The sequence below is a fragment of the Homo sapiens genome, chromosome 10, assembly GCF_000001405.40.
Source record: "Homo sapiens chromosome 10, GRCh38.p14 Primary Assembly".
Classification (NCBI taxonomy): domain Eukaryota; kingdom Metazoa; phylum Chordata; class Mammalia; order Primates; family Hominidae; genus Homo; species Homo sapiens.
In genome coordinates, this window is record NC_000010.11 from 98,359,902 (window position 1) to 98,386,278 (window position 26,377).

At 46.4% G+C, this 26,377-nt stretch overlaps 1 protein-coding gene and 1 long non-coding RNA gene across 18 annotated transcripts in view, besides 5 other annotated features; one reads left to right on the forward strand and one right to left on the reverse strand.

Moving 5' to 3' along the window:
• Positions 1,151-1,445: an enhancer, noted in NCBI's record as "tiled region #15191; HepG2 Activating non-DNase unmatched - State 10:DNaseD, and K562 Activating DNase unmatched - State 5:Enh". NCBI's record gives its function as "activates a minimal TATA promoter and a strong SV40 promoter by Sharpr-MPRA in HepG2 and K562 cells {active_cell/tissue: HepG2 | K562}" and the evidence as "EXISTENCE:reporter gene assay evidence [ECO:0000049][PMID:27701403]".
• Positions 1,353-8,667, forward strand: LOC105378449 (uncharacterized). Of its 2 annotated transcripts, none has more exons than XR_001747305.2 (3): positions 1,353-1,635; positions 3,863-3,974; positions 8,294-8,667. It is a non-coding gene; the product is annotated as an uncharacterized LOC105378449 (long non-coding RNA). The 2 variants fall into 2 exon arrangements; XR_946233.3 differs by having other exon boundaries at positions 1,405-1,635; positions 3,863-3,956.
• Positions 8,099-8,717: an enhancer, noted in NCBI's record as "NANOG-H3K4me1 hESC enhancer chr10:100127757-100128375 (GRCh37/hg19 assembly coordinates)". NCBI's record gives its function as "activates a minimal SCP1, AML or CMV promoter by ChIP-STARR-seq in naive H9 embryonic stem cells {active_cell/tissue: H9 hESC(naive)}" and the evidence as "EXISTENCE:reporter gene assay evidence [ECO:0000049][PMID:30033119]".
• Positions 8,251-8,545: a silencer, noted in NCBI's record as "tiled region #9035; HepG2 Repressive non-DNase unmatched - State 21:Repr, and K562 Repressive non-DNase unmatched - State 21:Repr". NCBI's record gives its function as "represses a minimal TATA promoter and a strong SV40 promoter by Sharpr-MPRA in HepG2 and K562 cells {active_cell/tissue: HepG2 | K562}" and the evidence as "EXISTENCE:reporter gene assay evidence [ECO:0000049][PMID:27701403]".
• Positions 14,899-15,400: an enhancer, noted in NCBI's record as "H3K27ac hESC enhancer chr10:100134557-100135058 (GRCh37/hg19 assembly coordinates)". NCBI's record gives its function as "activates a minimal SCP1, AML or CMV promoter by ChIP-STARR-seq in primed H9 embryonic stem cells {active_cell/tissue: H9 hESC(primed)}" and the evidence as "EXISTENCE:reporter gene assay evidence [ECO:0000049][PMID:30033119]".
• Positions 15,401-15,900: an enhancer, noted in NCBI's record as "H3K27ac hESC enhancer chr10:100135059-100135558 (GRCh37/hg19 assembly coordinates)". NCBI's record gives its function as "activates a minimal SCP1, AML or CMV promoter by ChIP-STARR-seq in naive H9 embryonic stem cells {active_cell/tissue: H9 hESC(naive)}" and the evidence as "EXISTENCE:reporter gene assay evidence [ECO:0000049][PMID:30033119]".
• The window catches only part of PYROXD2 (pyridine nucleotide-disulphide oxidoreductase domain 2), a 31,615-nt gene continuing 28,904 nt past the window's right edge, over positions 23,667-26,377 (reverse strand). For 11 of the 16 annotated variants that reach the window (NM_032709.3, XM_047425882.1, XM_011540293.3 and 8 more), the window contains 2 exons: positions 25,046-25,166; positions 23,667-23,967 (listed from right to left, as the gene is read on the reverse strand). In NM_032709.3, coding sequence (NP_116098.2) covers positions 23,897-23,967; positions 25,046-25,166 — 192 coding nt within the window. In that variant the 3' untranslated portion in view covers positions 23,667-23,896. Of the gene's footprint in view, positions 24,010-25,045; positions 25,284-26,377 lie in introns of those variants that run through there. The other 5 variants (XM_017016835.2, XM_047425883.1, XM_047425884.1 and 2 more) reach the window with 3 other exon arrangements.

The window sequence follows — 26,377 nt, forward strand, 5'->3', positions numbered from 1 at the left end:
CACCCTTATACATTGCTGATGGGACTGTGAAATGGTGCAGCCACTTTGAGAAATAGCCTGGCAGTTCCTGAAAATGTTAAACATAGAGTTATCATATGACTGTGCAATTCCACTCCTAGGCAAATACCCAAAGAAATAAAAACACATGTTCACACAAAAAGTTGTATATAAATGTTCATAGCAGCATTATTTGTAGTAGCCAAAAAGAGGAAATAACCCAAATGTCTATCAATTGATGAATCGATAAATAAATTGTGGTATATCGATACAATGGAATATTATTCAGCAATAAGAAGGAATGAAGTACTGATACATACTATAAGGATGACCTTTGAAAACATTATGCTAAATGAAAGAATTATAAAATGCCACATATTTTGTATGATTCTATTTATATTAAATGTACAGAATAGGCAAATCCATGTGGACAGAAAATAGCTTACTGGTTAGCGAGGGCTGGGAGGCTTAGGGAGAAATGAGGAGTGATTGCTAATGGTTACGGGGTTTCTTTTTGGGGTGATGAAAATGTTCTAAAATTAATCACAGTGATGATGCACAACTCGGTGAATATACTAAAAACTGAATTGTATACTTTAAATGGGTGAATTGTACGGTACACAAATGACATATCAATTAAGCTGTTATTTTTATTTTTATTTTTATTTTTATTTATTTATTTATTTTGGATACAGGGACTCTCTCTGTTGTCCAGGCTGGAGTGCAGTGGAGTGATCTTGGCTTACTGCAACATCCACCTCCCAGGTTCAAGCGATTCTCATGCCTCAGCCTCCTGAGTAGCTGGGACTACAGGCATTTGCCACCACGCCTGGCTAATTTTTTGCATTTTTAGTAGAGACAGTTTCACCATGTTGGCCAGGCTGGTCTCGAACTCCTGAGCTCAGGCAATCCACCCACCTCAGCCTCCCAAAGTGCTAGGATTATAGGTGGGAGCCATCATGCCCGGCCTGAAGCTGTTATTTTTTAAAAATCACATTGCAAAATATTTTTTTAAATATTAAAAATTATAAATAAATAAATTAACAAAAATCACATTGCAAAGTATAGCAGATCTCTATGATCTGGTCTGAACTCTAATGTCAAACATTAAAATCGAGTTTGTCAGTATTACTATGTATGGTTTCTGAAAATACCAAATAAAAGATAATGAGGAATCTGAAAATATTTAAAAAGACACCATGGCTTTGGCGTTGCTTGCTCTCTCAGATCACTCCCTCTGGGAAGCAAGCTGCCATGTCATAGAGGGACGCCCACATGGTGAGGAGCTGAGGCCTCCAGCCAATAGCCGGCAAGGAACAAGAGCCTTCTGTTGCCAGCCCTGGGAGTGAGCTTGCAGACAGATCCTTCAGCCTCAGGAAAGCTTCTTGATGACGCGGTCCTGGCTGACAACCGGACTGCAACCTCATGAGATACCCTGAGCCAGAACCACCAGCTAAGCCACTTCTCAAGTCCTGACTCACAGTGCTGCAAGATAATAAACGTTTTGGAGTCATTCGTAACACAGCAAGTGATAATGAAGATACGTGGGTTGAGTGGGGCTTTGCCTAATATGCCCTAGTGCCTCCTGAAAGTGAATGAGGCCAGCTGGGATGACTAGGCACTGCTCAGAGAGCTGGGGTAAGGCCACCGTGTGGTTTCCTAAAAGGAGTGAAAGTAGAGAGAGCCTGAGATGAGCATCTTCCGGAGGGAGGGACTATGTCGCCTGGGAGAGAGTCACACACACCTGGTTTCTGGGGCTCTGGGCCCCAGAGGCAGGTGTCGTCTAGGGATAAAGAACGAGAGGTAATGTCCAGAGGAGGAGGTCCCTTCTCTGACAGCCTGGGGTCGGAGGAGGCAAAGCTTTTGTTAAGAGGCAGTTCCCTGGCTTGATCAGAAGAGGAATGTCAGCCAGCTTCTGAGGACTGCAATACCAGAGCTTCTGAGGCAAACTGGGACATAGAAGATTGAAGAAGGCGCCAGAGGCACAGAGACACATTACTGGAGCCTTGGAGATGGTGGTCATGGAAGCCATTAATAAAACATGGAACTTTCTGGAACATTGGTATTCATCATCATCATCTCTCACCCTCATGTCAACACTATTTATTTATATATTTATTTATTTATTTATGACAGGGTCTCACTCAATTGCTAAGGCTGGACTGCAGTGGCACAATCACAGCTCACTGCAGCCTTGACCTCCCGGGCTCAGGTGATTCTGCCACCTCAGCCTCCACAGTAGCTGGGGCCACAGGCATGCGCCACCGTGCCCAGCTAATTGTTGTATTTTCTATAGAGATGGGGTTTCACCATGTTTCCCAGGCTGGTCCCAAACTCCTAGGCTCAAGTGTTCTGTCTGCCTCGGCCCCCCAAAGTGCTGAGATTACAATCGTGAGCCACGGCACCCAGCCATGTCAACACTTTAATGCAGGCAGTTGCTATCCCCATTTTACTGAGGAGAATCTAATATTGTAGCAGGCCAAGTTTCACACAGGCCTCCATAACAACCGCTTCAGTACTGACTGAGTGGTTAAGTTAAATATTAAAAGCCAGTGCCTTTATACAAAGGCTAGGATGTAACAAAAGCCCACCAAGAGTTTTGTCTAGGCCTTTCCTGGGCCTTAAAGCATGACAGAATAATGAAGGAATTCTTAACAGGACCCATTTAGGATTAAACAAGTTTATTGGGGGTCTGGAGGAACTCCTAAAACCTGTGATTCAGCAGGAGAGAAGATAAGGGTAATCACTCCAGCAACTGGACCCATTAAGAGTAAGTAAGCTGGCCGGGCGTGGTGGCTCATGCCTGTAATCCCAGCACTTTGGGAGGTGGAGACGGGAGGATCACGAGGTCAGGAGATCGAGACCATCCTGGCTAACACGGCAAAAGCCCATCTCTACTAAAAAAAAAAAAAAAAAAAAAAAAAATTAGCCAGCTGTGGTGGCGGGCGCCTGTAGTCCCAGCTACTTGGGAGGCTGAGGCAGGACAATGGCGTGAACCTGGGAGGCAGAGCTTTCAGTGAGCCGAGATCGCACCACTGCACTCCAGCCTGGGCGACAGATCGAGACTGTGTCTCAAAAAAAAAAAAAGCAAGAGTAAGTAAGCTTACTGAGGCTCCAGAGGAAGGTCTTCAAGACTCAGACCTTAGTTATAGATGAAAAGAAGTTAATCACTTATGTCTTTAGATGAATGCACACCTCCATGTAGACATGTAGCTTAGAAGGTATAGAAGCTCTGGAAAACTTTGTAATTTTGAGTTGGTCTGGTGATAATTTCCAGGCCTTCTCCCTGGTTGCAGAAATAAAAATTTCTGTAACAGGTTGCAGAAATAAAAATTATCTTCCTCCCTAGTTCATCTGCATCTCGTTATTGGGCCATGAGAAATAGCAGCCTGACCCTCAGTTTGGTCCGGGAACAATAATGTCAACAATAGTAAAATGTGGATAGCTAATAAGTGGCAGAACAGGTCTTCCAACTCCAAGTCCTGGGTCGCTACTGCCACACAGCACTGGAAGTCATGAACGGGTCCTTCAACTAGGAACCAGACAGGAGGTGGCCCTGGAGGAAAACGCCCAGCTGAGACAAGGCTGATGTCAGACATTGTGCCCAGTCTGTTATTTCTCTTACTTGATCTAATCATGTGACTGTGCATTTATATGTATATGCAAAATATATTTTTAAAAGTGCATATGAAATCCATACAAATCGTAACAAATATCCAAGCACTTACCAGAAAGCTTAAAAGACAGAATTATCACCAGTAACCGATACTCTTGTAAGCCCTCCCTAGTAGAATTCTCCTTCCTCTTCCCAAAAGTAAGTCTGAATTTTATGTTAATTTTGTTATTTCCATCTATTATTCTCTAGGGTTTCTGGCTGTTCCTTTGTTTGCCCGTGGTGGCCAGCATGTTTGCAGTTGGGAGGATTCTTCACCAGTCTAACACATGCCTCAGTTTTCTAGGTGAGAAACCCAGACAAGGTAAGTATAATACCTGCCTCTCCCCACCCTTGATCACTCCAGGTCACATGGACTGTGGGTGCCATGGCCGTATCTAAAAACCAAGTGTCATTAGTCAGGGACTGTTAAGATCAAAGGGACTTTGTCACCCAGGTCAGAGAGGGCACACAGAGGGCCTGCTGCTGTCATCCATGTGTGCAGACGCTGTCCATCCTGGATGGCCCCCTTTTGCGCCGACCTGTCTTGATCCTAGGCCAAAAGCTTTTTTCTGTTATTAAATTCTAATCACTTCTCCTGGTCTGATTCTAGGCTTTCTCCTCCAGACACGTGTACTGAACTATTCGGCTCCTACTTCTTTCTCCATGTATTGCCCTGAACTTACGTTTCTGGATCTGGTTGGCATGGTTTCCAGGAGGTAGAGTGTAAGCCACTTAAGGCAGGGGTCTCAGCCTGCTCTTTAACCTCTAGCCCAGCCTTGGGCAGAGTGCCCAGTTGGGCACTCCCCATTGGTTGACTAATCTGCTGAGATCATGGTCAGCCAGGCCTGGAGGGGTCTCTAGTGATTGGAAAGCCAAGGATCCATTGCCCCAGGACCAAGCAGTGGTGCCACATAGAGAGAAGCCTCTGATACACTCCCAAAAGCTACAGCTCTTATCCTAAAATAATTTACTGTGCTCCGCTGGGCTCTCCACTTCTCACGTGTTCCTGATTTTCCCTTTCACTACTGTCCCACTGGCCAAAGCATCAGTGTGGGAGGCCAAGCCCACAGTCAGTGTGGGAGGCCCCACCAAAGGGTGTGGGGGCAGGGAGCAAACTGTGGCCTTTACTATCATCAGTCAACCATGGAAAGGGAACTGATATTTATTAAACACCTGCTATGTGCCAAATGCTTTACTTTTCATCTTATTTAAGCTTCACAACAATTCTCTGAAGTGCTGGCATCCCTGTCCCTTGATGAAGAAGCATCACTCAGAGACGTGGGTCACTAGCCCATGTGGTTAGCAGGTGCTGGAGTGGGGATTCGTACCTGCTGAGTTGGGGAGCGGGGCGGAGCCTGCCCCTCTGAGAGTGACTCTGAGTATGACATAAGTGAGTCACAGTGAGAATTACAGGAGATCAAACAGAAGCCTGTGAATGAAGCTACGAAGTGGATCCTGCTCCTTACTTAAGGGGGCATGGTCTCTCTCCAGGCCAACATGTATCACCAGCGATGATATCCTCTGGTACGCCAGTTCTATATTCCTCACCACTGGGGATGAAGAGAAAAAGGAGGGAGAAGGGGAAGCGATGTGATGCATGGGACCAGAGTCCCAGATGCTGATGGCCTCAGCGGTGGGGGCGTGTGAAAAAAACCTTTTCCTTTTTCCGTTTCCAATGTCAGGCTTTGCCCTCTGAGGGCTCACAGGCCACCCAAACCCTTTCCATGCTTTCACACACAGTTGAGGTTTTGTTTGTTTGTTTGTTTTGTTTCTTTTTTTGTTTTTTAACAATTTTGAAAGTGCTTACGTAGAGACACAGCTTTAGATGGGCCACATGAAAGGCCCCGTTCAGACAGCTCTCATCTGATACAAAGCCTCAGAATGCCCACTGACGTGGCCCAAACGGTGGTGCTCACTTGGGCAGGTGCATCTGAATTTCACAAGGTCCCCTGATGGAGGCGTCATCTGAGCTGAATTCTGGCTCAGAACAAAGGAAGTGCAAGTCAGGCCCCCCGTCAGAACTTCCGTCCGTCTTTCTGCATAGAAGGATCCTGCCTCCTGGGTTGTTGGTGGCTGTGTGGAGCCAAGTCAATTGCTAACTGTCACTGAAGACCAAAAAAAAATTGCAGTTTTCAAGTTCAGTGGACAGGGACTCAGAGGAAAGCAGGTGGGAGAGAAGAGCAGGAGCTGCTCACAGCAGCCAAAACAGCAGGATGGGATCTGCGCAGCCCAGGCCTCCAGTGCCAGACAGCCCTGGTGTCTCAGTGGCCGGCTGACCTCCTGAGGCCTGGCCACAGCCAGGAGCCCACATACCCCGCTGGGTAAGGCGCAGAGGCCTGCACACAGCCTCGGTGACCCCTCATCTTACACACACCCTGAAATAGAAGCACAGCAGGAAAGACCTGCTCAGCCGCACACCGCCTGACCCGGAGCCAGCCTGACGAAGCCGGAACTTCCCACTTCACCTGAACCCACCCGCCACCCGCCTGGCCACAGACTCACTGCCCTCTTTATCCCCAAATGAAAAGGGGTAGTTGTCTCGCTTGGTGCCCAGGGTGCCAGCTTTTTTACCCTTCTTCATAGGGCATATTTCTGGGCCTATCCTCTTTTTCTCCCAAAGTACCTAAGACAATGCTCCCTTTATAGGTCAGGGAAGGAGTATAGATCCTGCTTTCATTCTGTCTTCTTCCCCCAGGGCAAACAGCTTCACCCTCAGCTTTATGAATTCCTTCCTATTCTTACTTTTCTCCGAAGCTGTTTCTCATTGACCTGACGTCTCCTGACCTGTTGACCAAAGCACCATTCCACGTGTCCTGTGTGTGTGTAGCTCACTGTGAACTTGCTGTTAAGCTGAGGCCTGGCCCCGAATGTCATCAGCTTGCTGGTTACTTGCTGAGACAGGAGATGGAGGTGCTACAAGAGAGGGAGATGAAAGAGGAAAGGAGAGAGAGGTGGAGAGATGGAAATGACCAGGACGGGGAGGGCGGGGAGCAGAGCTGAAAAGTAGGAAGGAAGGAAGGTGCGAATATGTGCTGGGTGCTACCCTGGGGCCTGTATATATTACCTCACGTAGCCCTCACAACACACAGGTGACGTTCGCATCAGCACTCACATGTTTCGTGAGTTTTCAGAAAGGTTAGTTTGTCTGAGATCACTCAGCTGTGAGGTGGCAGGGACTAGATTCAAATTCAGATTTTTGGCTTCGATTTCAGGACTTTTTCCTTTCTAATCTTCTGCTCCCCCTGAGAGGGGACTAGAGGAGAGAGAAAATGAAGGGAAATAGAAGGGAAGTGGAGACCACCAATTGTTCTCTGGTTGCAAGCAACAGAAACTGATTCTAGCTATCTTAGATGGGAAAAGGTTTGATTGGAGGGGCGCCAGGTGGCTTTCAGAATCCAGTAGACTGTAGGAGAGCAGGGTCAAGAACCACAGTGTTCTGGGGTCTGGGCAGGAGAAATTAATTGACAGCTTACTTGAGATTCTGCCCCTGAAATAAATATGCTCCAAACATTTCCCCCACTCTCTGTGCAGGAGAGAATCCCAGGAAACAGTCTGATTTGTTGTATTGGGGTCACTTGCCTACCCTTAAGTCAAGGGAGCTAAGAACACCAACATGTCACATGACGGAGGAGAGAGCTCCAACTCCCAATGCTGTTATCAAACAAAGGGGACACGGACACAGAGCACCCAAACCACAGATGACAACCACGCAGGAACTTTTTAGGTGCTGCCTGCAGGTATCAGGGGCTGATTCTATCTGCCCCAAACTGCATTAGGGCTGAGCCCCGCAGGTTGAGTCTTTCTCATGACATTGAAATGGCCACCATTGTCACCACCAGTTCCATCTGACAGAGACGGGCTGGGCCCCCACCTCTTCCAAACCTGGCTTCTGGGAGGAAGCATTTCTCCTCTCAGGAATTAGTCCTCATTCAAAAACTCCGTGCAGTAAGTTTGCAGAACAATGAGCAGCTTACAATCAACACTCTGGACACACTGTTTTATAAAGACTCCTCCTAGGGCAGTGGTCTTTAGAGTGAAACTTCTTGAGTTGGAATTCTAACACCATTACCAGCTGTAAGAGAGAAAATGCCCACCTCCTCTCTGAGCCTCAGTCTGTTCTGCTGCACAGTAGGGGGATAACGCGTACTCTGCCTCCATCTGTATGTTGTTCCATCAAATGAAATAAAAATTGTCATCAGCTTGTAAACGGTGAGAGCCATACAAGATACAGAGAGGCATTGTGGTCCTTTTCACTATTACCAAGCGAGGCCAGGCTGCTCTGGGAGTGTGGCAGGAGGCCGAAGGCGGCTGCACGCTGCCGTAACAAGAGCGGGGGTTGGAGGAGTTGAGGGTGAAAGTCCGGGCAATGGGGTCCTCTGTGCTTCCAGCTTGCTCTCTACTTCAAGCACTGTGAATAGATGAAACTCCACCACATCCTTTCACCCATTCCAAGGCCAAATGGCCCAAGGGCAGAGTTATACATTCAACCGGTAATTTGAAAAGCCCTGATTAGCCTCATCTAAGCTCTGTCTTCTTTACTGAGAACCCAACTGCTAAGCCTTTCCTGGCAATGAGGCTTCTTGAGGCTGAGCCTTCACAAAGCTGGGTTGTCTCCAAGTTTCCCTTTTTTTCCTTCCACAGGCTGGCACTGCACAGAGATGGAACCTGATGAAACGGCCCCATTTGAGCGCCTGCTGTATCGCGTTGGCTCTGCTTCCTGCAGCTGTGCTCCAAGATGAGCCTTTCAGACATCGCTCCCTAATAGCTCCATCTCCCCCAGTCCAGGAGGATGCGCATTCCTCTCCTCATTCACATGCACCACTTCAAGCCATCTGCACGCTCTACAGGGGACTTGCCGCCTAACATCCTAATGTGCAACCCCATCCAAATCCTCTGCTGGAATCTCACTATTTGCACCACTTACGCTCCTGGAGCGTGAAACAGAAGGGCCAGTCCTCTTGTCTCTTTATTCTAAGTGTTTAATACAGATTCCATGGACTTGGTCCATAACAATATGAGTGTGGTCTTACATCAGTCCTTTTACTAATTTCTCATCATCTCCCTCATCCTTGTCCTTTAGTGATTGTTCCAGACCTTCTCTTCTTATCCTCATACTCTCCTCTTTGGTATAGTAGTGAGTAAAAGAAAGAAAGAAAAAAAAGGTCCTAGTGTGACTCATATCTTCATGGTTTATTTACTACCTGGAGGATTTTTGAGGCTATGAACATTGTTTTATTTTTTGCTGTATCCCCAGCACCTAGCACAGATATGTGTGTGTATCAGGGCCTGTATGTATAAGCTCTCCGATGCTGCTATAACATGTAGTTCCCCAGTCAAAACTAAGTATTATTAAAGCAGCATTTTGGACAGGGTTTAAATTACCTGGCCCTTGACTTTGGGAATTGGAATTTTGTCTACTGCAGTCGCTTGGGGGACCTTCCAGTAGAGATTTATAATTAAAATGATATCATCCAGTAAGGCTTTTACCACAGGGCTTCTAAAAACAATAAAAGGATTGTCTGAGGCAGAATCTGCACTGTGGAATGAGAATTATATATGGTTTACTATAAAGTAAACTTAGGCATAATTATATGTTGTGAACTACAAACGCACAGTGGGATTCTGAGATTAATTTCCAATCACTCCTCACCACGGATTGGTGAAAATCCCAGCCAAGTGTGGTGAAGGAAGTGTCTCTGTTTCTGCCCGGTTTGGAGGTATTGTCTGTGCATTCGTTGCTGGTCTCATATCCCAACTTCCAGCTGCTGCTGCTCCACATCAGTCACTGCAGAGATGTTCAGTTTTTCATGCCAGGATTGCTCTGTCAGGATTTGTGTTAGTAATTGCAGAGACTTCGTAGGTTCTGTTTGCAATCATACGTAACTCAGATTTTAAATTAAAAAGGTAAAAATGGAATAATTTGGAAAAACATTCACAGAATATCAGAGTTAAAAGAAGATATTTAACACCATCAAGACCAGGAACAGCAAATAGTTTTCTGTCCTAGCTGCCAGCCCTATCAACACCGTGTCTAGGCCTTGCCCGTGAGAATGCAGTGATCATCTGGTGACGCTGGCCACAAGCAAGGGAGGAGGGGCAGCGTGGCCTGAACCGCATACTTGCCCTCCTTGCAGAAAGGCAGGGATGTCCCATGGATGAAGGGAGGGCAGCAATCATGTTGAAAGTTTTTTAGGAAAATGGAAACTTAGTGGCAGAAATAGTGTTTCTTTTACTATCAATTGACATTCAAAATCACTTTCAAACCAACAAGGCTAGTAGCAAATTGAAAAATAGGAGTGAGAATGCCTGCCCCAGACATGGATGGTGTGGGGCAAAACAGGGGTAGATCCAAATGAAACAATCAACTGCGACTCAAGCTGATTTCCAGCCGGCGAGTGTCAGCAGGCACAACGGTAGGGGGTTGGGGAGAAACCATCCGTCCACCTCCTGCCTTGGACCAGGTGCAGCGAACTTTATGTACCAGATATGTTACAAGAATCTGGCTCTAAACAAATTTCTGCAAGCCCTCTCTCAACCTCAGCAGGAGGGAAGTTGCCACTCCCTGACAGCAAATCAAACTGGATCTTGGAACACAAAATGTTGGAGACGTTTAAAAAATTGTAATTGAAAAAATTGAAATTTAGGCCAGGCGCAGTGGCTCAGGCCTATAATCCTAGCACTTTGGGAGGCCAAGGGCTGATCACTTGAGGTCAGGAGTTTGAGGCCAGCCTAGCCAACATGGTGAAACCCTGTCTTTACTAAAAATACAAAATTTAGCCAGGCATGGTGGCACACGCCTGTAGTCCCAGCTACTTGGGAACCTGAGGCAGGAGAATCGCTTGAACCTGGGAGTCGGAGATTGTAGTGAGCCGCGATTGCACCACTGCACTCCAGCCTGCGCGACAGAGAGAGACTCCATCTCAAAAAATAAAATAAAATAAAAAATTAAAAAATTGAAATTTAAAGAAAAGGAGAGAACACTGTTTAACCATAAATAAATACATATGTGACCACAAAGAGTTACATTGTAAATTATTGTGTGTATCAATCAAAATAAACCAGTGGGGTAAAAAAAGATAATGCAACTTGTAAATTGCCTGGCTAAGTTTTGCTGCTAGAAGTAAAATGTAACATTCCTAATTTAAAAATTCCAAGCTTAAAACTAAAATGTTCAATTATAAGGACTTTAAGTAAGTAACATATAATAATGATGAATGGAAAGGTTTAGAACACCATGGGGAAATGCTTGATAGCATGTTAAGTGAAATCACAGTATTGTAAACACAGGATCATCAGACTAGAGGAAAAAAGTGTTTCACTGGAAAAAGCATCTTTATCCTTTCTGGAGTAAGAAAGGGTTAATATTGTGTATTATGTGTAGCTATATCATTATGTCTCTCTCTTTTGGTGTTTTTGTTTATCTATCAGGCACTCAGAAATATGAACAAAATTTGCACTCAGAAGCCGTAACCATGGATAATTTTTGTCTTTTGGCCGTTTTTATTACATCATTCCTTCCTGTTTATAGCAGCAATATTAGAAAAGAGATAAACAGAAGTAAAATAACATTTATAATTCTCCCCTGGATAGATAACATTTGGCGCTTTCTTTCCAGACAATTCAATATGCAGATAGACACATAAGTGCATTTATTTTATAAAACTGGGATCATACTCTGCATCTGGTGAGTATTTATAAAGATCGACCTTGCCCTGGCTGGTGCCATCCCAGTCCCTGGGGGCTTGTGCTCGCCTCTGGGTGGAAGTTCACAGGCAGGCAAATCACAGAGCTGCAGCTCAACCAAGTCTTTATGTTGCCTCTATAAGATGTTAAAGGTAAAACAAGGGAAGGTATACCGTGCTCAGTTTCTGCAGAAGCAGGCCCCTTCCCCTGTAATCTGATGAGCTCTTTGCTTTTATCCTAGAAAAATACAGCAAAGGTCAGGATGGCCCATCGGAGCTCTCGTCCTTGCCAAATGGTGTGTGGACAGGAAAATGTCAAGTGTCTCTGCTGGAAGCACTTGACCGGGAAGAGGCATTCATCCTCCCAGCACCCTCAGGGACAAGGGGTGCCAGCCGGGCTCCCCTGCCCTCCTGTTGCATGACACGGTCTCTGATACTGGGCCACCCGCTCCATGCCCGAGTTGCGTCCCCTCCCAGGGGCACACTCTCTGATGCTACTAAGGCAGGCATGGAGGAGACATGGCAAAGAGAAACCAGAGGATCTGTACTTTTCCCTGAGGCTTTTGCTCCCAACCAGCTGCAGAGAGAGTGTGAGAAGGAGAGTACCCAGGCCAGGCACGGGGAGCAACTGCGAGTCTCTGTATTTGTCTTCTGGGCTATTATGACAAAGAACCACAAATTGGGTGGTTTAAATTTATTATCCCACAGTTCTGGAGGCCAGAGGACCACACTCGAGGTGTTAGGAGAGCCACACTTCCTCTGAAACCTCCTGGGGGGTGGCGGGGGGATCTTTTCTTGCCTCTTCCATGGTCACCCCAGACACCCTTGGCTTGTGGCAGCATCCCGCCCATCTCCACCTCCACTTCACACAGCCGTCTTCTCCCTGTGTCTGTGTCTTCATAAGGCACTGTGTGTGTGTGTGTGTGTGTGTGTGTGTGTGTGTGTGTCCCAACTTCCCTCATTTTATAAGGACATGATCATATAGGATTAGGGCTCATCCTTAGGACTTCATCTTGACTCCATGTGCAAAGACCCTGTTTCCCAACAAGGTCACGTTGATTGGTACTGAGGGTCAAAACTTCAACATGTCTTTTTGGGGGACACAATTAGACCCTAACAAGCCCTATGAGGGTTCAAGAGGACCAGTGCTCTTTCACTATGTCAGATGTATGTGGAGGGAGTGACTAAGACAGACAAACTATTTTAAAATCCTACCTCTGCCCCCTAACACACCTCTCCAGCCCTCAGAGAACCTTCCTTGGAGGACCCATGGCACCTGTAGCTTTGGAAAAGTCACTTGACTTCTCGGGGCCTCTGTTTTCTCATTTATTAATTGAGCTAATGCAGTGACTCTCAAAGTGGGACCTGAGTATCATTCTGATGACTATGAAGTGACCCAAGCACGCAAATCTTTCCTGTGGTTCCTCCAGGTGGGTCACAGAGGTGGCCCCCAGACTTTACTTCTTATGTACAAGTAAAGCTTTTAACCCACAAAAATTTGGTATTCATAAACTAAAATTAGTGTTCCTGGGATTTACTGAGGACTCCAATTTGTTATTCTACACTATACTTTACATAGTTGGAATTTCCCCAAGATTTGGAAAAACGCTGTTTCGTTAGCTCTTCAGCAGTTATTTTGAGTTATCATGGTTTTCAACCGCTTTTATTCATACTTTATATTTATAAGTTACTATTGGTTTTGTGCCCTCATTATCCATTGAGTCTGGCGAGAGTTTGGGGTTGTCCTAGAATGGGTAGTAATAAGTATTTACTTTGATAATTTTTGGCTTTTATTATAAAATTGTGCAATTTCTAGACATTATATGTAAATGAATTGCAGTTGAATAATTCATCACTCATGTACCCCTACTGCTAAGGGAGGTGTATACATGATCCCTTTATATTTTGCTTGTATGGTGGTTTGCCCAGGACTGAGAGGTTTGCCGGAATGTAGAATTTTCAATGCTAAAGCTGGGAGAATCCTGAGCAAACTCCCACGGTCGGTCACCCTATTATAGAAGGACACTTCATTGGTGGCTTCCTTGCCGGTGAATTTGTGCTATTTTTTTTTCATCACTTTCGTCTTGCAATCAAGGTTAGCATAATAAAATTAGTAGGGTTATTTTGAGATCATGGGGCGTTCATTTATAATATAAAATCAAGTGTACAATGGCAGATTTTTCTTTAACATAAATAGGAAGTGAACCGTGTATACTGCCTGCTCAGCAGGTTTAGTGCAATATGTCTGTTTGGTTCCTCTGCGATCCTCTTCTCCTTCCCATAAGCCCCACACCTATAATTACCAAACTCAGGAGAGAGGGGGAACTGGTGAGACGTTGTGTCCTTTGGCCCCACTCAAGTGGATATAGTCAAAGAAGTTTAGGAACCCCTGAGTTAAGGACTCCTAGACTGCCCTACCTCTTACAGCTTGAGGCTGCAGATCCACCCTGACCGTGCTCAAAATCCTAAGCCAATGCAGAGTCAGAAGCAGCTCAGAAGCTTCCCCGGAGGTCCTTGCTGAGAATTCCCTAACCGGCAGGCAGTTCCTCCCGCCCTAGGAAGATTTTGTGTATAGCCTCCTTTGCATAGTGTCCGCTATGAATTCTCTTCTCTGGCTCCATTGCATGACAGGAAGGCAGGAGAGGAGGACAGAAAGCTGCTGCTTATTTTCAAGCTTATCTCCAGCTGTCAGAACTCTCATTAGGGGCTTTTTGCTTTGGACTTAATTTACCTTAGTCCTCACAGCAATGCTGTGATGTATGACTGACTCTACTTTGTAGATCTGGAACCCGGCTGCCCTGACCTGGCTCACCTCGAGCCCTGGTCTCCCCTCCATGCTCCCTCAGCCCCTGAAGTCCCAAGGAACCCAGGACTCCACTCACCTGAACAAAGGTCACTTGAAAACTGGGAAAGGGACAGAAGCTTTAAAAAGCCCAAACGAACAAACAAGAGGTTGACAATTTAAAAATAAAGCCAACACAAACTCAGCCTGGAATGGAAGCTCCTGATGGAGTCATCCTTAGAATTCACCACCCGCAATTTACCCCAAATCCTGGGTGACCCCTCCTCCACTGCTCAGACTGTTCTTAGGTACAGCTGCTTCACACTGCATCGTGGCCCTGTCATAGATGACTAAGCCATCAGTGGGAGGCATCTTTCCCTACATACCATCTCTTTTTCCCGGCTCAGAGTGTCTTTTCTAAACCATGTCCTTGCTTTACATTTCCAGGGGGTCGTCCTTAACAGTGGGTAGGTAACCCTGTGGTGACCTGATTCCTGCTCAGCTGTGAGCTTTTTCTGTCCTCTGGTGGGGGACAGACACTCAGCATTCCAGACAGGGTTAGTGGTGGGACTTCTATTTATTTAACTACTAATCCTACTTATGTGAAATTAATTTGCTCTCCTATTATAACTCACCTTGCTTCCTGCCCTGACCGTCTCCTGTAATTGACACCTGGCTGCTCCATTGTGCTCCTGCTTCCTGGGCTAAGGGGCAGCGGTTGGAAGCCAAGTCTTGGAGTGACTCACATTAGGAGGCTGCTCTATACAGAAGAGAGGTTTGCTCATTATAGACTGAGGAGGGTTACTGTAAAAACAGCGGTGGTTTTTTTTTTCTCCTAATAACCAGTTCCCCTTTAGGCTAGCCCTTTCCAAGGAAGTTTGTGTACTATTATTAAACTTCTTCCTAACTCCAAATATGGGCTGCTCCAGTTTCTGCAGCGTGCAGATGAGTCTCTGGCTTCTGTAGTAGAAATCCAGGCCCAGGTCCCCATCTGCCTCGGTCCTTGATGAGATGCAGGTCATCCACAGTCTCAAAGCAGGTAGAGGGGTCCATGCTGCCCCAGGGGACAATACCTACAAGGTGTTACAAACACCTCCAGCCAAAAACAGGTGCTGCCACTAAAGCTTCCCAGATCCAGGTTCCACAGCCAGGATCCGTCTTCTGTCTGTGGCAGAGGTGAATGAGGAGCTGTTTGCATTGAGGCTGCAGAGAACATGGCTGTATTATGGAGATGAGAAGGAGCCACGCTGGCCTCTGTTCATGGCCCTCCACTGAGCACCTGGGCTTGGCAGACAGAGGGGTGTAGTAGTCTGAAGATCTGGCTCTAGCCTCCAAGTGAGAAGCTCCCACTCCCAACTCATGTCCATATCTCAACTGCTCATTTGAGTCCTTGGGAGAGGGCGAGGGGAGGTGGGGAGGAGGAAGCCCAAGAGTTTGTCCCCTGGCCTCTGCCAACACTGCAAATGTGGCCACTTTAACAGGCTAACAGACTGGACGTCCTCCCATGTGTGTAAAATCCCCATACCTCCTCCAGCAAACTCCATGTTGGCTGTAGAATGAAGGCCACCTTCTGCCCGGCATGGCATCTGCAGCTTGACCCTCTTATCCGGCCTTATTCTCGCCTTTGCTCTTCACAATCCTCATCCCGTCCGACTGTGGCTCTGAACTCTCTGCCCATCCCTCCATCCCACCGTTGTCACATGGTGCCCAGAAGACCCTGAATGCCCACCTTATTCTTTTCACTCATCATGTCTAGTGCATCCTTGACCCCACTCTAGCTCAGTCCCCTCTGCTGTGAGAAATACTTCCTGACCCTACCAATTAACAGGCAGCTTGTCTCTCCAAATTCCACTAGTGTGCTCACACAGATTCATGCAGCTAGAGTTGTTAATAATTCTTATATGAGTGTTCTTTGTCGTCCTCCACTAGACTGTAAATGCTTTGCAACAAGGAACCATTCCTTAACATTCATGTATAGCCCTACACAGGTGGCCAACAATTGATGGAACTTGATGACCCTACAACCAGTTGTCCACTAGGTGTGTCCAGAGTGTTGTTTCTTGCTTAGAGCATGATTTTTGCTGTCAGAAGGACCTCAGTTCAAATCTTGACTGTGTCAACTACCAGCTCTGTGACCTCAGGAAACTATTTAACCTAACTGTGTTTGTTTCCTCTTCTGTAAAAGCAGAGATGTACAGTAATCGGCCCCCAGGTTTATTGTAGATTTAAAGCATGGGAAATTCTTGCTTGGTGCAGTACCTGGCATGAAATCAAGGCTCACTAAATAGCAGCCATTATTATTATCGGGTTAGTTTGGGGCTGGTGCCTCTGCTACAGTGAGTCTTAACAAGCATCAAATTAATGGAGATAGATCCTGGTTTTAGGGGAGGCATCCTGGAGAGAATGTTGAAGTGAGTTTTGGAAATCCGACAAGGAGAGAAATCAGAAGTTAACCCAATTGCATTTCTCCCAACTTTTCAACAGCCTTCAGGCATACTCATTTTTAGCTGATTCTCCAGATATTGCTAGAACTTTTCCCAGAGGCAGATGCAGAGTGACTGTGCAGACTCTGAAAAACAGTGCTTGTCACCTGACCTTAAATGTAACAAACAACCCCTGAGGAAGGTAGCTCCAATTACAGTCATGAAGTTGGAGGAGCCCTTTCAAGGCAGATTGATTTACTGGACCAGAAATACAGCTCAACATCCCACACACAGATTTCTGCCTTTGGCAAACTGCCCTGCCTGCTTCCTTCTCTCTTGCCCTGGCGTATTGATCTGCATGTGTGAGTTGGTGTAGTTTATTGTATAGGGTTGTGTGTGTGTGTTTGTGTGTGCTGTGGTCCCAGGATGGAAGCTCCTAGATTGGGAGCCCTCTAATTGAGTGATGTCCAAAGCCTTAATCGAGGGAAATCTTGCTCCATTTCTTTTTGTGGTGGCTTTAATTTCATCCCTCTGCTTCAGGTTGGCATAGAATGTTCCAGAAGGCCTCTCACTCTGTCTGATTCCTGTGCTTCTGAGTATATGTAGTAACATGTTGTTGTATAAGGAAGGAAAAAAACTAGTTTTTGTTGTGTGCCTTGTGCCAGACAAAAAAAAATTACCATCTCCATGAGTCACATAAGAAATTGAGACTTGGAAGCATTAGGAACATGCCTAAAATCCAATGCTGGTAGAGCCAGGATCCAAACACAGGTGTGTCTGACTTGATGCCCTCTGTCATAGTGACTCCAGGCTTGGCCCTGCTGGGAGATGGACGCCCAGCCACTATGGGAGTGAAGTCCAACTCATAGGGTCATTTTGAATGGGAAAACTTTGAAATCTAGGGGCATAATTTCAATTCATATCATCGTATTTTGCACCCATCATGTGCATGGCTATGTGGCCTTCTCCCTTGTATTAGTTATTGATTGCTGTGTGAAAAATTAGTACAAACTTGGTGGCTTTGAACAACACACATTTATTATCTCACAGTTTCCACTGTTCAGGAATCTAGGCACAGCTGGACTCCCTGTTCAGGGTGTCACAAGGCTATACTCACAGTGCCGGCCAGGCTGTGTTCTCATCTGGAAGCTCAACTGGGGAAGCATCCATTTCCTTGCTCACATGTGTTGGCAGCATCCATTCTCTGAGGTAGTAGGTCTGAGAGCTTCAGTCAGCTGGAGGCTACTGCAGTTACTTGCCACATGGGGTTTTCAACAGGGCTACCTGCCTCCTCACGGCCAGCCAGGAACTGAAATTCCTGCACGATTATGCTGTGTGTGATATAATCACATACCTCCTTTCACCTTTGTCATATTCTGTTGGTTAGAAGCAATTCATAGACCTCACCCACCCTTGAGGGGAGGGGAGCACACAAGGCCATGGGCACCAGTAAGCAGGGGTCCTGGGTAGGGGGCACCCTACAGGTCTGTCCACCACATCCCTCTTTCCCTTTCTCCTCTTCTCCTTCCTTACCCTCTTTCTTCATTTCCCCTTTCAAGTCTAGCCTCAGACATAGGGCTTTGCCAATAAATATTAGCTTTAGAGTAATGATGTTAATAAGTGACATCACTATATTCCAGGCACTAGTTTTTTTAACTTTCTATTGAAGTATAATATACATACAGAAAACTGCAACACCCTAAGTATAGAAACCAATGAATTCTTCAGAAACTGAACATGCCTATGTAACCATCACATAGATCAAACAGGAAGATACACTGCTAGCACCCTGAAGCCCTTCTCAGGCTTCCTTCTAGGCCTTAACACCCTCAATGGTGAACTTTTTTTTTCAATACAGCGTCTCATTCTGTTGCCCAGGCTGGAATGCAGTGGTATGAGCATAGCTCACTGTAGCCTCCAACCCCTGGGCTCAAGTGATCCTCCCTCCTCAGCCTCCCAAGTAGCTAGGACTACATGCATGCACTACCATGCCTGGCTATTTTTTTTTTTTAGAAATGAGGTCTTGCTACATTGCCCAAGCTGGTCTTGAACTCCTTGCCTTAAGCAATCCTCCCACCTCAGCCTCCCAAAGTGCTGGGATTACAAGTGTGAGCCACTGTGCCCAACCAAAGGTGAACTTTTAACAGTATAGGAACTATTAATTTAGACTGTTTCTGTATAAATTATAAGCAGAATCCTACAACATGTATTATTTCATTTCTGGTTTCTTTGACTCAAAATAGTTTTGTTGCATGTGGTTCTAGATTGTTCATTCTCATTGCTGAATAGTAGCCCATCATGCGAAGGTGCCGCAATTTACTTATCCGTTCTACTTTCAATGGGCATTGGGGTAGCTTTCTGGTTGGAGGTATTACAAGTAGTGCTGCTAGGAGCAGCCTAGTATGTATCTTTTGGTGAACACCAGTAAGCATTTCTGCTGGGTATATCTGGGAGTGGGTGTGCTGAGTCACACAGTGTGCATATTTTTTGAGCTGTGTTTATGTATATACAATCCTCACATCCCTCTATGGGAGGCAACATCATCCTCTTTATACACAACAGCCTTCTGGGTCAGACCTACACTTTCTCCATGGGTCCTGAAAGATCAGACAGGAAGGAAGGCCGACAGGTGCAGTGCAGAAAGTGTAGGTTTCACCTATCTTTTCACTATTGACAACCTTCTTTTTTTTTTTTCTTAAGAGACACATTGTTTTGAAGACTTCTGCATACCAATCAAATGTCCTTTGGTTAGTCTCATTTAATTCCTCTAGTGATTCTCTTATTACTCAAAGACACATATAGCCAGCTGCAGAGCTGCTGGTCTGACAACCTACATAACAGCATTGCCTAGTTTCAGATAAAACCAGACAAAATCCAGGTTCAGGTCCACCTTGGTCACCTCCTTACAAGAACACAGGATTTCTGTTGGGCTGTGTAAACACTAGAAGATGCCGCCCTTTCCCTTTGTGATGCTGCAGGGACCTTAGATGACCAAAGACGCCACGTCTCCACTGAGGATCTCTTAGACCGAGACCAGGTCTGAAGCGCTCTGACTTATGCCAATCGATATATATCAATGCATAAGCCATTCACACACCATTTTGACCAGGCACAAGCCATCATTTTTAAACAAAAATTCAAAGTCCCATCCATTTACTTTGGGCTGGTTCTTATGCTATGATAGGTTCCATGAAGGTAGTGAGGAACATTTTCCAAGCTGCTGCCAAGTGGTCAGAAAGACTTCAGGCTACTGCTAGCAGACTGTACTTTGGGGTATACTTTGTTCTTTCCCATTTGTCTCTCTGTTTCTATCTCTCCATCTCTGTCTTTCTCTCTGTCTCTGTCTTTCTCTGTGTGGGTAAGTATGTTTTTTATAGTTAGTATATGTAATGTATATTTACATATATATGAGAGATCTGTCTACCCATCTATCAACTATCAACAAAATTCAGGTCCCATTATATCTTACTTTTTATTAGCATATTTTTTCCATGTGATAAAAGAAAAGTACATTCAAAAATGTAACTTTTAAAGTTATTGTTTGATATTCTATCACGTGCCGTTACCATGATTAATTTAACTAATTCTCTATTTTGGGACATTTAGGCTGTTTCCAGTATTTTGCCATTGCAAATAATACTGCATGAATATCCTTCTACCTAAATCCTCAGGGACATTTCTGATATTTTCCTTAGGCTAAGTGATAAGATGCAGAATAACCCACAAAGCACACGGATGTTGGCTTTTGAGTCTCATGATCAAATACAAATTTATGCCGCTGTCAACAGCATAGAAGAGTGTCTTTTTTGCCCACACCAGTAATTTTCTATACAAATATTTTTTCTCAATTTTATAGGTAAAGCATGATTGTTTGGTTTTCATTGCATTTAACGGATTCCTTGTGAGTTTAAATATTTTTTTCAGGTTTGCTGTCCATTTGCGTTTCTCCTTGCTTTGCATTTTGCATTCCTTTTTCTCATTTCATGTGTCTCCACTCGCTCACAGAATGACATCCTGTGCTCAGCAGGTCTCTTTTCCCCTCATTCCAGACATCAGGGCAGGAGTATTACGAAGGTCCCACAGAATAACTTGGTAATTGTCACCTGCCTTGCAAATTGAACATATGTTAGAAAGATGCACGCTCACAAGCCCACAGCCGGCTTGGTCAGCCACATCTGTCATTCCTCCCACCAGGAAGGCCAAATTCCTCCCAGAGCTGTAAACCTCACATCTCACTGAGTCTCTGGACACCATCACCCAGGGGCTGTGAGATCAGGAGGGCCTGCTGGTAACTACTTAAGCAGCTGAGGTTCCAGTGCACTTCAGGGTTTTACAGGACTATGCCTCGAAGGAAGTGTTCCCTGCTGCTCTGGGGAAACAGGCAATTGTAAATCAGGTAACAATGAGGCCCTGACTTATTTATCCTTCTAAAAGTTTTACATATTAGGGCCAGCAAGGGACACATTTGTCCAGTTCATGGCTGATTTGCAGAGTCAGCACTTTGGTAAGACCAGCCCGCCTTGCTCAGCAGGGTCGGCATGTGCTGGGGGCTTGGAGGAACCAAGGCACCCTGTAGTGCTGAGGCCTTATCTTGTCTCTCGGTCTGGACTAAATGTTATCTTTCAGAGACATGAGACACAGGATGGGAAGTCACCAAACAGTGGGAAATTCTTCCTCTTGGTGCTAAAGGTGCTTTTTCCCCTCTCTCCCTGGCCTCCTCCAAGTTCCTCCTCCTTTACAGGGAACATTTGCCTGGAGAACAGCTGCACCCTTGTGATCCCAGAAATGACAGGGAACCATTAAAACAGGAACAGCAGTGATAAAAGAAGTTTTCGGGCCTTTGGCTTATACTAATTAGCAATCAAGGCCAAAGCTGAACCCAATGTCCCATAATAAATTATGACACATCCTTACAAGAGAATATTAGGCAGCTATTAAAAATAATGTTTTCAAAGAATTTTTATGGCACTGAAAACTGCTTATGACATGAAGTGAAATGAAGGAAAGATGTAAAGCCCACATACAGAACACGGAATACCAATGACCTGAAAGACTACCTGGAAATATTGTAAAATGGGAACTGCAATTATCTCTGCAGGAAAAATTATGTGTGCATTTTATGTTTCTCTCTTATTATATTTTTAAAATTTCCTACATTAGGCATTTGTAACCTTTGTTTACCAAAATAAATAAATAAAGTTTTTTTGTTTGTTTTTTATTTTTTGTTTTTTTGAGACAGAGTCTCTTTTTGTTGCCCAGGCTGGAGTGCAGTGGCGCGATCTCAGCTTACTGCAACCTCCACCTCCCGGGTTCAAGCAATTCTCCTGCCTCAGCCTCCAGAGCAGCTGAGATTACAGGCGTGTGCCACCATACCCGGCTAATTTTTTTTTTTTTTGTATTTTTAGTAGAGACAGGGTTTCACCGTGTGAGCCAGGATGGTCTTGATCCCCTGACCTCATAATCCGCCCACCCCAGCCTCCCAAAGTGCTGGGATTACTGACGTGAGCCACTGCGCCCGGCTAAAAATCGTTATTATTTTTAAAGACCAAGTCTGATGTGAGCTGCCCCAGGCCTTTGAAGATTTTCTATGTTCATTTCTCCCTCCCTCCCTCCCTCCCTTCCTTTCTCCTTCCTTCCCTCACTTTCTTTGTTCCTTCTTCTCTTTTTCCTCTTTCTTCCTCCCTCCCTCCCTTTTTTTCTCTCATTCTTCCTCCCTCTCTCCCTGTCTTCCTTCTTTCCTTCCAGAAAACCAGCAATATTGACCAAAAACAAATTTTCAACAAGATCAAGAAGTTGATGGTCCTGATGCTGAATGAGGGAGGGGGCTTGGCTACTTTCGAAAAAGCTTGGGGATCCAAACATTGTTCTGCACTGTCCTGGTCACAATGCTTCTAGGGGGCTAGTTTCAATTCTGGGTGCCAGGTTAAAAAGTATATAGAAAAGATCACCTTCTGCAGAATACAAAAATGACAAAAACGACAAAAACGATTTCATCAATAAAAGCCACAGCAGCAGCTCCACCATGTACTGAATGCTTATCATGTGCTAGATACTGGATGGAAACATGATCTATTGTTTGATGTGAGCTTTAAAACAACTCTTTTACAGCTGAGAAATCTGAGTTTACCAACATTAAGTAATGAGGTGGATCTATTTGATCCTGTATAAATTTGCCCAGGAAATGGAGGAAGGGAAGCTTTCCCAGGGAAGATCCTGCCTTATCTGCAGATGGGACGGCTTGGACTGTGGCCTTGGCTGCTGGAACTGGAGAAGCTGGCTGGGAGGGCTGCATTACCACGGGAACTCTGGATGGATTTTCCTGGACAAGGGTGACAATTCAACTCTCTTTAGAATTCTAGAGGTTTATATTGAAAGGTGTTGGTGATGCAACAGACTTAGCTCATGGGAGGCAGAAGCCTGAATGCTCTGGAATCAGGAAGACCGGGCTCCCAGACGGCCTCAGTGGAATCCACTTTGCAGTCACCCTTGGCTGCTTTTTGCCTGACTGGAGGATTCTGTGGCTTGAGATGCCCAGCATTGTTCAGGACCGTGGCCTTTGAGGGTGACTCTGTGGATCATGGGGAAATTGGGTCCATTCTTATAGCTTGCCAGGAATGTGACAGCGGTTGACTGGGCCCCACCTGGGCAGTCCTCCAATTGTTGGTAGTGGGGGTCCCAGGCAAGGACAGGGGATGCTTGGATCAGACTCTTCCACTGGTTAGATGGACTGTTTTTTGTTTTGTTTTGTTTTGAGATGGAGTCTCTGTCGCCCAGGCTGGAGTGCAGTGGCACAATCTCGGCTCACTGCAACCTCTACCTCCTGGGTTCAAGTGATTCTCTTGCCTCAGCCTCCCAAGCAGCTGGGATTACAGGCGCCCGCCACCATGCCTGTCTAATTTTTGTACTTTTAGTAGAGATGAGGTTTCACCATGTTGGCCAGGCTGGTCTTGAATTCCTGACCTCAAAGTGATTTGCCTGCCTGAACTTCCCGAAGTCCTGGGATTACAGGCATGAGTCACCATGCCTGGCCTTTAAATGGACTGCTTCTTAGCTGATGTAAGAATTATGAGTACCCCAGAGAAGTCTATCCCACCAACTAACACAGAGAAAAAATACAAGCAAAATAATCTGTATGAAATATTAGTTTTAATAAAACAGAACCAGTCCATGTATGGAGGCATGGGCATAAGGTCAACTTGCACTAAATGTAACTCGTACGTTTTTTCTAAAATAATTTCTTGAGCATTGTGGTGGCCTTATGTACTAACCCGAAGCTGAACTTCCTGGGAAGCTGATCCAATGGAGCACTTGGAATTCAGGGGTGGAGTCTTCTTCCTGGGTCAGAGCTGGTTCAGGGTCACATGCTCTTGAGGTCCCTAAAGGCCACATGTGCTGCATTTCGCCCAGCAGCTCCCATCACACCTCCTCCTGGAAGGGAATCTCCTATGAACCAAAGCTCCGCTCAAAAACCTGCCAGGGTGGGGGTGGGGACAGGGCTTACAGAGATCCAGCAACAAAGCAGAGTGGGGCTGGTTAGAGGGGTCCGGGGGCATGGGCACTGGAATCACCTAAGACAGCCGCTCAATAGATTCTGGCTCCCTCCAGGCTTCCTGCACCAAAGGTCTGGGGAGGGGCCAGGTCCACAGCCCACAGTCTCAACGGCTGAGGGTGGACGTGCTGGATGGGCACACGCTTAGTAAGTGAAGTTAAAATTTCAGAATAAGGGGCTGGGGGGAGGGGGAAGATGTGTAAGCCCAGACTCTTTCCAGGGTACCAAGTCTACACAGCTGAGAGAAAGTGTGCATAGCAAATAGCCTCAGCCAGCTCCGTTAGGCTTGGAATGCGCACAAGAAAGAATTGTAAAGTTGAAGAAGTTAACTTTATCCATCCTTCCTGGTCTAAAATATGGATGGAGGCCTCTAATCCCAGCACTTTGGGAAGCTGAGTGGAGAGGATCACTTCAGCGCGGGAGTTCGAGACCAGCCCGGGCAACCTAACAAAACCCATCTCCACAAAAGAATAAAAAATTAGCCAGGCATGGTGGCACACACCTGTAGTCCCACCTACTCCAGAGGCCGAGGCAGGAGGATCACTTGAGCCCAGGAGGTTGAGGCTGCAGTGAGCTGTGATCATACCACTGCACCTCCAGCCTAGGCGATAGCGTGAAGCCCTGTCTAAATATATATACGGATGGGGAATTTAGGGACATGGGTCTCTCACAACCCCACATTGGAATGTGGTGAGATGCCTCCACCAGGATGCATCCCCAGGCCTCCTGAAGGGGAGGTGTGAGCTCAACTGTGGGCTGTGGTCAGCCTGGTGGAGGCAGCGGCTGTGTGCTCACCTGTGCATGGATAATTCTGAACACAGGGCAGCTTATGTTGGGAGTTCCCTGCTCCCCTCCCTCTCTGCCACCTTCATTGCTTAACTTCCTCCTTCTCCAAGTCTCTGGCCTCCAGTGAGCCCTCCCAGTCCCCACAGGGTAGTGGGACTCCAGGTCACTCACCAGGATGAGCCCCACTTCCACAGAGATACAGGCCCTGGAGAGGGCAGCGGTAGCCAGAATGCAGGGGCACGGGGCGGGCGAAGTAGAGCTGGTCCAGGGACATGGCGCAGTGGAATATGTTCTGCAGAGGCAGGGCCACAGTCATCAGCACAGGAGAGTTACAGCCTTTCCTGCTCTGGCTGGGTTTCTTCCCCTCCCCTGTTCTTCAGCAAATGTTCTTCTCCTTCCAGGATATTTTCTTGGGTTTTAAAATGCAGAAAGGGAAGGAGATGAGACGGAATGGGCACATGCCCTGGGGCTGGGAGTGAAGTTTTCCAGAGGCTTTTTGAGGAAGAAAGCAGGGTGGGGAACACGAACTGAACGGGAAGGAAAAGAGGGTTTTGCTCTCTACTCTGCATCCCTCTCCCTCTGTTGGAAAAACAGAATTGTCTGACTTATTGTGGCTGTTGGCATGCGTCTCTGCGAGAACTCCCTTCTCTGGCCAAGGCATCCACCTGAGCCCGGACCCCGGTGTCCAAGCTCCAGCAGGATCACTGTGAATGGCAGACAAGGGGCAACGGAGCCCGAGCACGGTTCTGCCCCCCTGGCTTGGGTGAGACCAGCCCCAGGCTGAGAAGGGAGGCAGCATGGGACAAGCGAAGGTCAGACTCAGGGGGCAGGTCTGGACAAGAAGCCTGACGTCTGTTGGGCATCCTCACAGGAGTGCTCCCCCACTGCCCTCTTCACCTTTCCCCAAACTGAGGCCATCCTCTTCCCTCGAGTCTGCTCCTCCCCATCCTCCTGCATAAGTGAATGACACCACCTTCCTCCCCCTGGCCTCTGTGCCTACCCTTCACATCACCTCCACCCTGACTCCTATGTGCACACTGTCACCAAGGCTTCTCAAGTCTGCCCGCCCCATGCCTGCTGTACCCAGCCATTCCCTTCCTTCCCGCTGCCTGGCCTTCTTTCCTCTATACCTGGACCAGTGCTGTTCAGTGAACATGTAATGGGAGCTACATATGTAGTTTTTGATTTATTAGTAGCTACATTTAAAAAGTAAAAGCAGAGCCGGTTGTGGTGGCCCATGCCTGCAATCCCAGCACTTTGGGAGGCCAAGGTGGGAGGATCACTTGAGCCCCAGAGTTTGAGACCAGCCTAGACAACACAGGGAGACTCATCTCTACAAAAAAAAAAAAAAATTAGCCAGGTGTGGTGGTGCATGCCTGTAGGCCCAGCTACTCAGGAGGCTGAGGTGGGAGGATGGATGGCTTCAGCCCCAGAGGTCGAGGCTGCAGTGAGCCGTGATTGCACTACTGCACTCCAGCCTGGGTGATAGAACAGGACCTATCT